At 43.1% G+C, this 17271-nt stretch overlaps 1 protein-coding gene across 15 annotated transcripts in view, besides 2 other annotated features; it reads right to left on the reverse strand.

Moving 5' to 3' along the window:
- ELMO1 (engulfment and cell motility 1) overlaps positions 1-17271 on the reverse strand; it is a 596421-nt gene that overhangs the window by 120487 nt on the left and 458663 nt on the right. For 2 of the 15 annotated variants that reach the window (NR_038120.2, NM_130442.4), the window contains exon 1: positions 12531-12741. The exons of 12 other annotated variants lie outside the window; for them this stretch is intronic. The gene's annotated coding sequence lies outside the window, so the exon portion shown is untranslated. Of the gene's footprint in view, positions 1-11522; positions 11687-12530; positions 12742-17271 lie in introns of those variants that run through there. One more of the 15 variants, NM_001039459.3, reaches the window with a different exon arrangement.
- Positions 6719-6919: a silencer, noted in NCBI's record as "peak6484 fragment used in MPRA reporter construct". NCBI's record gives its function as "represses an SCP1 promoter by STARR-seq MPRAs in K562 erythroleukemia cells {active_cell/tissue: K562}" and the evidence as "EXISTENCE:reporter gene assay evidence [ECO:0000049][PMID:32103011]".
- Positions 13252-13546: a silencer, noted in NCBI's record as "tiled region #8653; K562 Repressive non-DNase unmatched - State 22:ReprW". NCBI's record gives its function as "represses a minimal TATA promoter and a strong SV40 promoter by Sharpr-MPRA in K562 cells {active_cell/tissue: K562}" and the evidence as "EXISTENCE:reporter gene assay evidence [ECO:0000049][PMID:27701403]".

A 17271-nucleotide genomic window follows, 5' to 3' on the forward strand; every position in this document is an offset into this window, starting at 1 on the left:
CCTATGTCTCTATCAGCTACCATCTAAGTTGCAGAGCAATAGACTGAGTGAGGGCTGAGATGCCCACATAGGCCTCAATTTGCTCCATGAGAAGGAAACAAGTTCCAGTCCATCATTAGGATGGTCTTGAACTATGGAAGCCACATTCATGATCCTGTCTTCTAAGGCAGTGAGAGGTGACAGCGTGCTGGCAGTCCTCACAGCCCTCGCTCGCTCTCGGTGACTCCTCTGCCTGGGCTCCCACTTTGGCGGCACTTGAGAAGCCCTTCAGCCCACCGCTGCAGTGTGGGAGCCCGTTTCTGGGCTGGCCAAGGCCGGAGACAGCTCCCTCGGCTTGCAGGGAGGTGTGGAGGGAGAGGCGCGAGCGGGAACCGGGGCTGCGCGCGGCGCTTGCGAGCCAGCTGGAGTTCCAGATGGGCGTGGTCTTGGCGGCCCGCACTCGGAGCAGCCGGCCCTGCCGTTGCCGAGCAATGAGGGGCTTAGCACCCGGGCCAGCGGCTGCAGAGGGTGTACTGGGTCCCCCAGCAGTGCCAGCCCACCGGCGCTGAGCTCAATTTCTCACTGGGCCTTAGCTGCCTTCCCGCGGGGCAGGGCTCGGGACCTGCAGCCCGCCATGCCTGAGCCTCCCCCCCACTCCGTGGGCTCCTGTGCGTCTGGAGCCTCCCTGATGAGCGCCGCCCCCTGTTCCACTGCGCCCAGTCCCATCGACCACCCAAGGGCTGAGGAGTGTGGGCGCACAGCGCAGGACTGGCAGGCAGCTCCACCTGCAGCCCCGGTGTGGTATCCACTGGGTGAAGCCAGCTGGGCTCCTGAGTCTGGTGGGGATGTGGAGAACCTTTATGTCTAGCTCAGGGATGGTAAATACACCAATCAGCACCCTGTGTTTAGCTCAAGGTTTGTGAGTGCACCAATCGACACTCTGTATCTAGCTGCTGTGGTGGGGATGTGGAGAACCTTTATGTCTAGCTCAGGGATTGTAAATACACCAATCGGCACTCTGTATCTAGCTCAAGGTTTGTAAGCACACCAATCAGCACCCTGTGTCTAGCTCAGGGTTTGTGAATGCACCAATCGACACTCTGTATCTAGCTACTCTGGTGGGGCCTTGGAGAACCTTTGTGTCCACACTCTGTATCTAGCTAATCTGGTGGGGAGGTGGAGGACCTTTGTATCTAGCTCAGGGATTGTAAACGCACCAATCAGCGCCCTGTCAAAACAGACCACTCGGCTCTACCAATCAGCAGGACATGGGTGGGGCCAGATAAGAGAATAAAAGCAGGCTGCCCGAGCCAGCAGTGGCAACCCGCTCGGGTCCCCTTCCACACTGGGGAAGCTTTGTTCTTTCGCTCTTTGCAATAAGTCTTGCTACTGCTCACTCTTTAGGTCCACACTGCTTTTATGAGCTGTAACACTCACCGCGAAGGTCTGCAGCTTCACTCCTGAAGCCAGCGAGACCATGAGCCCACCGGGAAGAATGAACAACTCCAGAAGCGCCACCTTAAGAGCTGTAACACTCACTGCGAACGTCTGCAACTTCACTCCTGAGCCAGCGAGACCATGAACCCACCAGAAGGAAGAAACTCTGAACACATCTGAACATCAGAAGGAACAAACTCCAGACGCGCCACCTTAAGAGATGTGACACTCACTGCGAAGGTCCACGGCTTCATTCTTGAAGTCAGTAAGACCAAGAACCCACCAATTCCGGACACAGCAGTGATTTCCCCACTCCCTATTTTAAAAACTATATGTATCGCTCAGACATTTTTAAGTCAACAGATGAAATTTTTCATCAGGCCAGGCATGGTGGCTAACACCTGTAATCCCAGCACTTTGGGAGGCCAAGGTAGGCAGATCACTTGACGTCAGGAGTTCGAGGCCAGCCTGGGCAACATGGTGAAACCCTGTCTCTATTAAAAAAATACAAATATTAGCCAGGCATGGTGACACATGCCTGTAATCCCAGCTACTTGGGTGGTTGAGACAGGAGAATTGCTTGAACCTGGGAGGCGGAGGTTGCAGTGAGCTGAGATCGCACCACTGCACTGCAGCCTGGGTGACAGAGCAAGTCTCAAAAATAAAACAAAACAGAAAATTTTCATCAAAGTTGAAATAGTTTCAAAGAATATAATTTTCAGTGTACTACAATATTGACATTTAAAAGATAAAACTGGCTGGGAGCCATGGCTCATGTCTATAATCCCAGCACTTTGGGAGGCCGAGGCGGGTGGATCACCTGAGGTTAGGAGTTCAAGAGCAACCTGACCAACATGGTGAAACCGCGTCTCTACTAAAAATAGAAAAATTAGCCGGGCGTGGTGGTGCATGCCTGTAATCCCAGCTACTTGGGAGGCTAAGGCAGGAGAATTGCTTGAACCCAGGAGGCAGAGGTTGCAGTGAGCCGAGATCGTACCCCTGCACTCCAGCCTGGGCAACAGAGTGACACTTGCCTGAAAAAAAAAAAAAAAAAAGATAAAATTGTATGTCATCTTTTCAATATATAGTTGAATGTACATACAATAGTGATTTGAGATCCATATGACTCAAAAATACACGAATAATCTCTTCTCGAATAGTTGGAAATTGTTATCAATATTTTCCTCCTTGAATAGGGGTCAATAGGATTTATGTAAAAGCCGAAATACTAAATATTTTAGGCTTTCTAGGTAGTCTCTGTCACAGCTACTTAACTGTGCCACTGTAGTATGAAGGAAGCCACAGACACTACACAGAAAAATGGGCACAGATGTGTCCCAATAAAATGTATTTACAAGTCCAGGGAGTGGGCCATATTTGGCCCACAGGCCATCATCCACTAATGCCTGACCTAGAACCAAAACTCCCATTTTACTTCCCATTTTCCCCACTCTACCTCAATTCTACTCATACAGAATTTTATCATAATGGAATTTTATGCTTAAAAGTCTTTTATTATCATCCTATCATACTTCTCTGAAACAAAAACACGTACATACACACTGAAATCTAACTTAAAAAATACTTCCTGTGAACAGAAGGTGCTAATAAAACTTTTCTTCTCGATTGAGCTTAACAGCATAATTATTATTAGTATAAACTAATTAAAACGAGACTTTATTACAAATTTTGATACATAATTTCCAAACCCAAGAGAAGTATCCCATTGGGAACGCATCTCTTAACGTGACAGGGACCCACTTATGGTTCCTTATTTAAAAGATAAGTCACAAGTCCTTTTGTTTGGCTCTCAGAGAAGGTTTATATACTTTGAGCAACACATCATAGTAAGACCTGATGGAGGTGAGCAGGGGCCTTTCTTTTATCAAGAGGGAGAACAGTGGTTGGGAAAAGTTGGTGTGAAAGCCACAGGTGCAGTTGCAAGATGATCAGTTTTAATGTACGTGTGGAAGCTGAGAATCTGAAAATGGATTATTGTAAGGCTAATTATCCATGCCTTCCTTTCCCTTGAAAAGTCTTCACACCATTCAGGAGAATGAGCACCCAGGTTGAAGATTACTTTTCCAGTGTATTAGCTATAGATCTACCTACAGTTGGTGTTGAAATGGAGGCACCTGACCTCAGTAAAAACGTGGGCTTGGGAATCAAGACACACTTGGATTTGAACTTCACTCTGCCACTTACTAACCGGATAATAAGCTAACTCTCTTTGTGTCTGTTTCCTTATCTATAAAAGGGGATAAAATGCCTTTTAACACTGCTTTTAGCACGCTACTGAAACTGTTAGGAAAAGGACAGAGACTGAGAATTGGAGTCTCCCTGAGTCTGGCCCTCTATCCTTTGAGCATAGGAGGATGTACTCTTCCATAAAACTTGTTGCTTGACAGAGCATGCCATGTGGTAATTTTAAAATGATCACTACACTGAAAATTTTTAAAAAGGTTTAAGAAATCCCATTAAAGGAATATGCAAAATGCCTGGCACACAGAGAGTACAGCTCTTAAAACCATCAGTGCAAGTGTTTCTGACATTGGTCTGGCCTTGAAGCAAGTAATGGGGAGTCAGAGTTGTAGACAGAGACAGATCACCACACACAGTGGATAGGATTATTGTATATTTACCTACAGTGTTCAAATTTGGGGATAAGAGACTTTCATATCCATTGCCATTTATACTTCTACCCAAGTCACATGGAATTGCAACAGTTCTAGATCACTTTAGTTGCAAATTCTTTCTCCTTAACGGTTCTAACAGTTCAGAAACTTTTGATAAAGTAGAAAAAATTTGGTCCGCCCAGGTTTCTCCTTGGAGGTTGCTTTGTGAAACTAGGATAGCTACACCTCTTGAATTTGTTTTTACAGTTCAGTTTCTCTTAGGTGTTTAGAGGGGAAGGAGGGCGGAAGGCAAAGATAGCTGTTGGACAATTTGTTTTCACCGATTACTTTCAAGTAGTTTTCAAACAACTCTTACAAGGGCCCAGTTTTTGAAAGTGGATAAATTTTCGTCAGGTAAACAGGCATGGAAATGAATGCATAGGTGAATACACAGATGACTTAGTGAATACATAAATAAATGTGGTTTGTTGAATTTTTTTCTTATTGTAGCTTCCATATTCTGGGGAATTCCAACTCTGAGGCTAATGATTGCCTGAAAAATAAATCTCCATGCAGGTTAATCCATATATACTCACAGCTGGGAATCCCAAGGCCTAGAACAGTACCTGATACAGGGTTGGCATTCAGCAAACATTGATTGTTGAATAAATTGAGCAAGAAAATGTGAACTTTGTCTCTTGTTAACAGTGGATATTAGCAAGTCAATGAATGTTTCTGAACCTCACTTTCTTTACCTGTAATAAGGTAACTGCATGCTACTACCCTCCCCTCACTCCCTGTTGGCTCATGGAGCCCAGAGGTAGAGCCCCAGGAAGCCACACCAGGGGACCTAAGTTGTCACCAGATGAAATCTATCTGACATCCTAGGACTCAGGTTACTTCAAGATCTAGGATGCTATAAGTTCACAGTAAATAGATGTCCAGATGTGACAGAGAAAGAAATCACCCCTTCTCCTCTCTTGACAGAATACATCATGGGTATGAAGTGCATGGCCGGCGGGAGTGCAGGGGGTGTGGAGAAGAAAGTCATCAAGAAGTGGCTGGGAACCTGCATGTGAAAGAACCAAAAATGTACATGTTTCTCAAAGCTTTCATTATGCCTTCAAGAAGAAGAAAGAGTTGGGGTAGGATGGCTAAAGCTCAGCTATCCAGAAAGATTTATGGGCCATCTGCTGAGACCAAGAACATCTTGACTTACAAATGTAAAAGCCACCGATTATTTATGGCAGGTCACAGCCTTCTTGAATGCCGCCAGGCATCTCCCTAGAAGCACAATATCATTTGATGTTGACTGGCTTCCAAAACCAGGAAACTACATACACATCACTGTAGCTCCACATTCTGGAGCTTTTGCTACCCTAGAAATAGGTTTCCAATTATTCCTCCTCAATAAACAAGGATGAGTTGTTAGGAGATATTAGATTTGAAGCATAATAGTAAGCCCTTATTTTACAATCCACAGAGTACATGGGATATATTAATAAATGTGCTCTCTAAACATTTCTATGTACCAGGTAGAGTCAATAAGATCTATATTTTTATCCAGGAGAAAAAATACTAAAGATTGAAGGGGCAACATGGCGAAACCTAAATCTTACTTGGTGGCTATGCTGAAACTTGACCCAGGCCCTGGCTTGTAAGTGTAGTGCCTTTCTCTCTGGGTGGCCTTTAATGCTAGAGGGTTGGGGTAGTGCCTGAGGATTATTTAGGAGAATAATCTGAAAGTAGAGAGAAACTTCCATGGCAAAAGAGCAGAACTAGACATTCTGTGAGACATGAAAAATAAATGGCTTCTACCCAAGGGATGGAATCAGACTATTTTCCCCTCCCATACATATTATAATTTACTAATCACTCACACATACATCATTTATATTTTCATTTGTTAACAGCCTCATGGGAAATGTACCTTCTTCCCTTTCTACAGATGAGGAAGCTAAGGTTCACAGAGATTAAGGAGTCCCTCTACCCAGTTCTCAGAAAATTTTAGAGGGGACAGAAGCATGGCTCATAAGGTGGTCTTTGCAAAGCTTCTTACGCCTACTTTGCCCAGATATTTGACGCTGGCTCAGGGAATCTAGGACGCGGCTGTCATCCCTTGTCCCCCATCAATCTCTAAAGCTAAAAGGTGTGGCTCTGCTACTACCCTCATGGTACTAGAAAGAGTGCCCTGGAACCTTTAGCATTAAGTAGTCTAGGTCTAGGGACAGTGCCAATGTTGGTGGTTTTCAAACCAGCTCCTGCTTTGATATCCCTCTTTGTATATGACAAAGTTTCTGAAATGCGGACTTCAAATTGCTGGCTCATTAGGCAAGGAGGGGGCTCCATCTCACCTGCTGGGACCTGTGGCCTAGATGACTCTAGTTAGAACTGAGTTGCCCAGAGCAGCCCTGACTTGGGCTACCAGTGTGAAGGCCTGAGTTCCATTAGCTCATGGGTGTTTCTTTCCAACCAGGCAAGTGGACGTCAGAACTGCCCCAGATGCTATCTTAAATATTCAGCTGCAAGAATTCCAACCAAGTTGGAAAGAAACTTTATTTCATTATACTTCCAGGTCTGGGAATGATGCCAGTGAACAGCTCTCCTTGACAGGTCTCTCATCACTTACAGCTCAAAGGAAAAGAGAAGTTAGCTCCCAAAGCGCAAGGCTGCAGCCCTCCTTGTCAGATGGCAACACCTCCACGGAACAGCTGAGCAAGAGGATGAGTAAAGAGCTGTCTGCCTTATCACCAAAACCCTGCATACTGATGATAATTCCCTGTATGCTTCTTTTCAAAGTCTTGCACAAGGCACTGAGCTGAGGCAAGGACATAAGAGAGGGATGAAAAATCAGTTTCAGCTGTAAGACAATTCTGATATCTCACTAGCGGTTGACTTAGTGCTGTGTTAAGAAGGATTCTGAAGCTCGATCTGGATACACCTGGAAAGACCGTTATTTTCAATGGAACATGGGCGCCAGAAGACAGACGGATAGATAGTTCAGAAGTTTGACGCATATATGACATAGGAAGTCACCAAGTCTAAACTTCAGTTTACCCATGTAAAGTTGCTGAGAAGCACAAAGGTTAAATAACTTGCAAAACTTAGATGCTAAGCTAGAAACCACACTTTAAAGCATTGGATTCTAGATTACTGCTCATCATCATATGAATAATTTTCTAGTCCTGTATTTCTAGAATATCATAGATTGCTTGAAATGAGCTAGCAAATTAGTAGACTTCCAAATCCTGTGGTAATCCAAAGATACTTATTGTAATGATAATTTTACGTATGTGATGTTCAGCTATTTCCCAGCATCTCTGCACTCACTGAAATCCCAAATCACTAATTTCCATTCATGACTGAGAGTATTAGGCCTTGGCTTGGCTGAAAATCAGCAGATACACAAAGCAATTCATCTTGCTCTGAGATCCAACCCTGCCTATGGTTTAATCTATTTGTTCCACCAGTGTTGCTTCACTACAAAATGTTAAGTAATATTATCAAAAGAAAGAAGTTGTAAAGGACCCACACAATTTACTCCAACCAACATTCACAAGGCATTCTTGGGAATTCTGTCCAAAATGCAGGAAATGGGGACCACTGGGTCAGAAGGCATTCCTGATAGGAAAGATGGTATTTAATCACATGGATTTTTTTTTTCTTACTGTTTTGCAGAATTCTTAATAGAGCTAAGGGAAAGTTTAAGAGGACTGAGCTTAGAGTGAGCTTTGGCAAATGGAGGCCAAAGCTCACTCTAAGCTCAGTCCTCTTAAACTTTTCCAAAGCTCACTCATTTCACCCGTTTGATTTGGGTGAAATCATCAACTGGGGACATCATTAGGAGACTAAGACTAGATGCCTCTAGGAAGGCTTTGCAGGATGGTTTTGATCTAGTTATTGAAGAGACTGATTACTTTTTCATGGTGAGTTTTACATTAAAATAAATCTTTTGGGGAGTGAAGATATAGGATAATATCTGGTATTGAAGGCACGGATTTGAAGACCAAATTAACTGAAAGAACTATTTAGTCAATATTTTCTCGCTAAACAAAATTTGTAGAATTGAATAAGATGATAGCAATTAAATCACTCCTTAGCCTGAATTTATACTTGTCTTCATGAAGAATTATCTGCTTGTAACAGAGTTACCTTCTCAGTTATGGTTTGTTTATAATTAAAATTAAACCCACGTTCCATACTGAGTTGAGAGAGGGGCCAGAGAGCACAGTAAATAGCAGGGCCAAGATAAGTAAGGATGAAGAAAGAAATGCCACAGATGGATGAGTGCCGACTTTCTGCAAGAGGAAACAGCATACTGTTTTAATTCCCCCTTGCCAAACAGTGTAATGGAGAAACTAAGATTTAGCTGTCCATCTTGAGTTCACCATGAGCAACGGTGAAAGTAAAAGTTAACATGTTTGTGAATACTAACATTCTGTTTCTCTGTTACCAGAGCAGGTGGTCCAGGTACCTTGTGGAGGTAAAAGAGATAAAGGTGCTGTGGTATGATGATGGAGTGAGAGAAGTTACTGGCCTAGTGTGCAAGGAATGTTCTGAGATCCTAGTGCCACACCATCCAGTAGAGTAGCCACTAAACACGGTGGCTAGGGAAGCCTTGGTGAGTGAGTGTGGTGAGTGTGACTGTGCAGCTGAATTGTAAATTTTATTTAATTTTAGCTCATTTAAATTTAAAAACCAATACTCAATTCAGTTATTTATTGGAAAACTTTGATGTATGTTTGGAACAACTTGTGCACATGAATCTACTTTTTTAACTATGAATTTTATGAGATCTAAATACAGATTTCCTGTGAAAATCCAGTATCCAAATTGAGTTGTGTTGTAAATGTAAAACACATGTCATATTTCAAAGACTTAACATGAAAAATTCAATGTAAATATTTTGTTAATAGTTTTGTAGATACATGTTGAAATAATAACTTAGACATAGCAGGTAAAATAATACATATCATTAAAATTAACTGGCCTGTTTCTTTTTACTTTTTTCAGGTGAACTACTAGAAAAATTAAAATCACATACTTAACTTGCATCATATTTCCATTGGACAGCATCAATGTAAAATGAGATCTGCTATATTGTCCCTGTAGTACATTTTTTGTAGTCTTGTTAAAATGTCTTCTACACATTTACATACCTCGTATAATACTAGAAAGTGCATAATACTAGGCAAGCATAGCCAAGAACCCATGTTTAAAAACCTGTTACCATGACCCCTACAGATTCCTTTCCACTTAGCATTGCAATCTTGCTTATTTTTTTATGTCAGATAAGACATCTAGATAAGATGAATAGCTTTTATTCTTCCTTCTAGCAGCCTAACCCCTTCTTTCTCTTTTTTATTGTTACATCTTCATTGTGAATCCATTTATAAAACAGATAGAAGGGGAGATGCAGTGGCTGAACCAGGAGTGGAGGATTCACACACCCATCCAGCTCCACATTGCCCTAGCAGCCATCAATCCTCCCTCAAACTCTGACGAACACAGTTTCTATTTCTGAGCTGGGCCCGCCTCCCCTGCTCACAAGGTCTTGAGAAAGCATGGTAGTCCTGGTGATTCCTACAGCCATTGCAGTTCATGGGAACCCCCAAACTGGCTGCCTGGTTGTTCCTAGTTGTTCATCACCCTCGCCATTGCTTTGGCCACTGCAAATCATTCCTGGCAAATGTAAGCAAAGGGCAGCCATGGGACACTGGTGACCTGTCACCTCTCCCAGATGGCCCAGAAGGAACTGGTCTCCTAGGTAAATTGACCCAAATCATACCAGGCAAATAAATGCTACAGGAATGAGATGGTGCATCACACAGTAACATAAAGGGGCAACCAATGGGGCATTTTGTGATGGGCTTTTTACTTAGCTCAAACTTCCCAAATGGCGTTATTAATAATTCACCCAACCACCCCAAAATGCCTTTTCAATTTGACTTTAATTATTGTGGTGATTGTTTAATTCAACTACCTGTGGTCTGACTCCACTTGACAGACTGACAGGCTGATGAAACCATCTTCCCCTATATACTCACTCTCCTTCCACATATGAATGCAGCAACAAGTACATCGACATGCATGAAACACCAAACACTTGTCAGTTCCTAGCTGGATAAACACCGGCAAGGTCCTTAATATTTTGGCGACTAAATTTCCTCATCTAAAACAGGCAAAAAAACTTAGTCCCATTAGGGCTGCTGGAAGATTCAATGAATTATTATATCTACATATAAAATGTATTGAGCAGTGCCTGGCACACAGTAAATGCTCAGGACAGATTGAGATGGGGCTGCAGCATTTAGCGGACCCATCTGAAAAGAAGGAGACAATGAACTTCAGGGTATGATACGTTCTTGGCTATTCCCCCAGGACAGGGATCTTGCTTTACCCTAAAATGCCTGATTATCAAAGTGTTATGTGTTTGTGCATGAATGCGTTTTTAGGTGGGGGGAGCAGAGAGGAGGTTCATAGCTTTCACATTCTTAAAGAGTTCCATGATCCAATAATAGCTTAAGAACTACTGTTTTAGATTTTTTTTTTTTTTTTGTAAACATTTTTTACTGCTTCCATAAAAAGCTGGTTTCTTCTCTCATTCTTACCAACAGGTGCCAGCACTTCGCTCATGTAAAGTGACACTAGTGGGGGAGAGAAGAGGCCAAGGCGAAATGGACATTGACTCTAACGAGCTGACTGTCACTTAATGCACATCCTCTAGAAACCAGACTTCCTCAAAATCGAGCATCGAGGTGTACTGAGGAGTGTGGTGCAGCAGGCAGAGTTAACATGCACACAAGCTCTTCCAGTCAGGCAGAATTCTCAATGTATCCAGCCATCTGGAGCCTCATGGGATCAGAGAGCAGCCTACATCTCCAGAAAGGCATTCAGCTAACAAACAGGTCACTGACCTTGTCAAGTGACCAGGTGTCCCTGATGCATTGTCACCCGCAGTTAGGAAATTCTCCCTCTCCTGCAACGTCAGCCCTACTTCTTTAATAGACAGAGTAGAAGGTCTCTCCCAGACACCCAGTCGCCCTCACCCTGCCTTGAGTCTTCTATAGGCGAAAGCTTTCTAGCTCTTCTGTTTCTGTAACCATTCATCACAGGTCCCATTTAGGATAAAGTAAATTCTATTCTAGAGCCACGTGAAGACCCACAGCATTCTCCTGTGCAAAAGGACATTTTTTAAAAAGGACAACCAATAAGATTTCTCTTGTTTGACTATTTCATGTGCATTTCTTCATAAACCAGATGCTTCATTCTCTTTTCCTCTCTCCATTATTTGAAGTCAAGTGGACTGTAAATAGAAGACATCAAGTGTGCTATGACACTTTCAGGCACATAAGACAGGAAATCACATTTTAAAAAAAGTAACATGATGAATCCTCAAAATCAGGAGACAATCAGGGGAAAAGATCTTAGGCAGAGATAGAAGCCCCAACTTCAGCCCCCACTCTCTGCAACCCAAGCCAATGGCATTACCTTTCCTCTCCCCGTTCAGAATGATTATAACTCGTCTGGAATCCTGCTCGGTGCTTGGGTTGCATCTTGCCACATACATTTTTAAGTTTGCAGCTAGAAGGGTCCCTACAGGCAAAGAGTTTCTCGTTCCCCACGCTGCCCCTCCATTGCCTGTTTATAGTACTGCTTTCTTGTTCTTCCTGTTTCTACCCAACGAAATTGAAAATTTCATCACCAGTGTCAGAAAATTAAACCCCAGGGAGCAGAGCAATAGCTCAGAGCATCCCTTTCCTGGCAGAGAGCCAATCCTTGAATATAACTTTGCAAACCCTCTCTGGTTTTTCAGGGGTTTGAAAGGATGCAAAATAGAGTCATTTTGAAGCATGCTTTTTGACTGCTAAAATCTTTCCAATTGCACTTCACTTTATCTTTGCAATTAATTAAAAAACATATTTCAATTTGGAGACAGGTTTCATAAAAGGAAAGGACATGACCTAGCTCAGTTACACATTTTCCAAGCAGAGAACAGTGGCACACGGAGAAGAGATGCTTCATTCCGTGGCTGGGGGTCTGAAGAAGTGTTTGACAGACCATTGTAATAACATCTCTCTTCACAATGCAAACACCAGCAACACAATCAAGCGGCTCCGGGCTCCGTGCCTGCACCTTTTTCTCTCTTCCTAGCAATACACAGGGTTGACTCTTATTATTAATGTAGCTTTAAAAGCATTTTCTCTTGAAATGCATCAACACCCAGGGAAATAAAGCAGAACTCTGCTCCTTACACTAATCCTAACAAGACAACCAATGTCCAAGTATAATGTACAGTCAGCTACAAATCGGATCAGACCCAAGCAAAGCATGCAGTCTTTTGAATTCAGAGTCTCCTACATCATGGGAACCCTTGAATGCCCGCTCCTCCATGTGCTTGTTCCAATTCAGTTTTCTCGGCAGACAATAGGACAAAGCTACATTTAGCTCAGGCTGATAATACCGGTGGACACATGTGTGAGACGGAGGTTTACTCACCAAGCTCCCGTAAGTCCATCTTTCCCAACCACAAATACTGATTCTAAGCTGCTGCCACCACAAAGCGACTTAGAGTCGTCCCCCTGAAGAACAATGTGCTGGAATACCACCAGATGGTTCCTGAGTAAGCTTGTTCATGAAACAGGTTTCCAGTTGAGCCATGTGAACAGAGACCCGCCGCACACCTTTAAATGGTATACACTCCAAGTCCAGAAGAATAAGCATGTAGCTTTGCTTATGTTTATGGAGCTGGAGCCCAGGGATGCTCCGATTGGCAGGAGTCGGGGAAAGATCAGCCAATCAAAGGGCGCCTCCATTTCAGGGAAACTCCTGCTCATTTATTTAGCATCTTCAGAGATCATCGGCTTTTCCAGGAAGAGCTTTTCTCTTAGAGTATCACAAGAGAAAAATAATAACTTCGTTTCTATTTTAGTGTCCTATGCTCTTTTGTCAATAAACCCATAGCTCCCCGTCTTGGTACTTCTCAATATATCCCCCACTTTTTCTTATAAAGAACTAAAAAACAAATAAGGACAAGAAGAAAAAGAAAAAGCTGGTGATGGGCTGGAGATAGTTCATATTCATCAGCCTCCACCTTGTTGGGAGAAGTGGGGGAGTGCCTGGGCTCAATAATTACCGATTCTGTTGCCATAGAAACAGACTGGCTGCAGCGAGTTGGATTCGTGCAGAACATCTGCTGCCAGACCCATAATCAACTGCAATCTCATCTCTTCCCCTCTCTCTACTTTTATTTGATTGTGAGTTTGCTTTCTCCTACCTTCTCTTCACACACAGTTTTTGTCCAGAAATGTCATAGAACCACCTCGCGATACCTTGCCATGTACACACAAGGCATGCACACCAGGGGTGCTCACATACTCAGGAATGCAAGCATTCCAGAGCATCCCAGCAGGGGTCCCACTGGGAGGATTTATACTCTAATTCCTACCCAGGATGTAAACAAACATAAACAGCCTCTACCCCTAATTAAAATTACTGCAACTTTTAACCTAGAGAATTAGAGGGGTATCTTTAAAAATATTTGTTGCCTAACAGCCCTGAGAGCTCCGCAAATAAAAGTTAAAGTTTGCAATGGTATTCCTCAGAGGGCACTGCGGTGGTTCCTAGCCAACCTTTGGAATGAAGCGATTACACTGGCGGCTTGTGGAAGATTTTGTAAGTACGGAGTGTTCAGGCCCAGCTCTTTTCTGCATTAGCACCTCATCAAGGCGCCCTGAACACTAGGGATCTCCCTGGATTTCCTCAGCCCATTTTCATCCCCTCAGACTCCTCCCCTGCTTGCTCCAAATTCCCCGGGTTGCATGACTAGAATTAATGTCACCAACTCTGAATGTGCTGCCATCTCTCTCCTTAGCAGCAGGGGTCGCCACTGAGCAGTGAATGGCTGCACATCCTGGTCAGACTCGAGGGGGCTCATAAGGTGGCAATCTCACTCAGGGGTCTGCGGAAGCCCTCAGTTCCACAGAGATTGATGGAAAATGGTAAGTGTCACAGAAGGCACCGATTTGGGCTTATGTTAGAGAGAAAAGAATTACTCTCTGCCCTATCGTCATCTGCCTTGGCATCATAACAACCTCAAGGAGAACCTTCTCTTCCTTAAAGGTCTCTGCAAGCCTGGGACCCTCAGCCCGTAATGACCCAGATGAGGCTTCTGAGGAGACTGGGACCTGCTCTTTGTGTGTTTCTGATTCTTGAAGCCAAGCTGAACTATCCATCTACAACACATCCACTGTCTAAACAGCAACAGTCGCCCTCAGCCTCCTTTCTTCCTAAATGAAGCTCAGTATAAACCCCATATCCATCCAACTCCAAATGCTCAGCTATAGCCCACTGGTGTTTTGTTTTGTTTTGACAGTCTTGCTGGAGTGCAATGGTGTGATCTCGGCTCACTGCAACCTCTTCCTCCCAGGTTCAAGCGATTCTCCTGCCTCAGCCTCCTGAGTAGCTGAGATTACAGGCATGTGCCATCATGCCTGGCTAATTTTTGTATATTTATTAAAGATGGGGTTTCACCATGTTGGACAGGCTGGTCTCAAACTCCTGACCTCAGGTGATCCATCCACCTTGGCCTCCCAAAGTGCTGGGATTACAGGCGGGAGCCACGACGCCTGGCCGCCCATTGGTCTTGATGTTGGATTTGTACCTTCAAGAATATGAATCCTGGCTTTCCATTTTGTCTCTTTATGCCACTAAGTGTAGGAAGAAAGTCTCACCCAGGTACAGCACCCAAAGCCAACACTGTCAATCTTTCTCAGCTCTGCCCAGACAACATTCACCCTCAGGGTGGTGGATGGCTCAGGTTTTCTCTACCATCTTTCTGGAACATCTCCTCTTAACTGTCCTGCCTAGTCTCCTCTGCCATGGGGACACCCACCCTTTGCCTTCCCATCCTCTTGAAGGCTGTCCAAATCCTCAGTTTATGCCAAAACCATCATTCCATCCAAGTCTTCCTCAATCAAAATTTAATAATTTTCTCAACAAATATTTAGCAAGTATCTATGCCAGGCACTTGTGCTAGTGATACAACAAACTGACAAGGTTTCTGCCTTACAACCTGCAGACTCTAATAGAGGAGGCAAAAATATTAAGCATAACTGTGATATGGAGTATAAAAACAGAGCTATGAACTCTGTGTTCTCTTAGCACAAATAATCACTTAGTGAGATCAGGAAAAGCATTTCAGAGAAAGTGACATCAAGCCATGATCTAAAGGAAGAGTAAAAGTTAATAAATTGAGAGTGAGGGGAAGAGTGACCCAAACAAAACACATGTGTGCTAGGAGGCAACATGGCATCTTTGAAAATCTGAAAGAAGCCAAATGTGAATGGATCACAGTGAGAATGACTGGGAGGATGGTGTAAGACCAGACCAGCAGATGCTTAGAGACCAAGTTAAGGAGTCTGGTTCTTATCCTACAAGCAATGACAATGCATTGCAGTGCTCCAGTTAAATGACTCCTTGCCCATCCTAACACACCAACATAACCCAAGATATATATTCCTCAGCTGATATGAATGACAGATTAACAGAATACAAACCTGATTGAAACAATCTATTTCAAGACATCTGTGATTTGTTGGGTTGATCTAGCTAACATTTATTGAGCAATTAATAATCCAGGAATTAATCCAGCAATTAAGAATTAATTCAGCAATTAATAATTCAGGAATTAACCTAGCAGTTCATAATCCAGTGCATTCTAAGCACTTTGTCTAGATTAACCAATTTAATTCTCCCAAAAGCTCTGTGAGATGTTATTACACTATTTACACAAATGAGGAAATTGAGGCATAAGGAGGTTAAGCAACTTGACTGAAATAACAACAACAACAAAAAAGTAGCAGAGCCAGGATTTGAATCAAGGGATTCAAGCTCTAGATTCTTTAAGTGTGATCCACAAGGATCACCTACATTAGAAATTCTCATTAAATGCAGATTCCTGGGGTCCAAGTGCATCTCTCCCCAATCAGAATTTCAGGGGGCAGAATCACGAATATTTTCCCAAGCACTCCAGGAATTCTTACGCACACCACAGTTTAGGAACCACTGCTAAGAGATGTTTTTGTAAAGGAGGAGAAGACTACCTCAAAATTAATCTCCCACATATAAAATGGAAAAAGGCAGTTTTTGGAGAATGGGACAGAGGGTCTCACTATTTCAAGCCATTACAAAAGACCATCTATATGAGAGTAAGATCATCTTTCTTTTGAATGACTGCAAATCCTGGTTGTATCATATAATCCAAAGTTAAAGTGGAGGGTGGGTAGACAGCACAGTCTGGTGCTTGGTAGTTATCCTACTAGGGAGGTTTATGAAGAGAGAGCATGCAAGTTCACAAAGAACACATTCACTAGGGTAATACAGATGTTATTAGAACCATCAGCAATAAGGTAGGAAGACTATGTATTATTATTGTTGACACTATGTGAAACGTCATAAGTTTTTTAAGGTAATTTTTATCCTGAAAAACTCATTTTTAAGACAAAATTGCAAGGTAAACAGATAATTTTATATTAGCCTTCAATCCTTCTCCCCTTCATCTATTTGAAAGCTAGCAAATAAGCTCTTTCGTCCACCTAGCTAGTCATGGTTTTAGTTCTAGAAAATAAGTGACTTGATCGATATTTTCAGAGGGTCCACTTCAAGAAAAAAATAGCTATAGCATCTTCGAGGAAACTTCCAAAGAATTTTTGCATGGGATCTTGTCCAGCGGTTTTGTTATGGAGATCCCAGACTGGGTGCTCTATTTAGTTAACCTGGACTTTCTGGCGATTTTTTCGCCTTCTAGACTGTGATGAAAAAAGTACATAAAGCTTACAGAGCTGCTGGTGAGCCTCAAAAAGAGGGAAACCTAGATTTTGTTAGCATCATATTTGGATGACTGCTTGTCAAGTTCCCAAGAACTGGCATGAAGTTGTTCTGCATACACCTAATGGACTTGTACTCCACAGGCTCCACATGGATGATAGGTAGCCTATCATCCAGCTTCTGAACACATTCAGATTTACTATGTGCTGTCCACAAAAGGAGAAGGGAATCACAGTATCAAATACTCAGAAAATTCAGGGGGTGGGGTGGGAATCACTGCTGGGCATCTGAATAAAGGTCATAAGAAATCCCTTTCTATTTCGCTCACACGTTCAACCTGTACTCTTTGTTCTGCTTGGAGCAGGCACTGTCAGTACCATTTATCCCATATTGTCTTGGGGCAGATTCAATC

This window comes from Homo sapiens, chromosome 7, assembly GCF_000001405.40.
Source record: "Homo sapiens chromosome 7, GRCh38.p14 Primary Assembly".
Taxonomy (NCBI): Eukaryota; Metazoa; Chordata; class Mammalia; order Primates; family Hominidae; genus Homo; species Homo sapiens.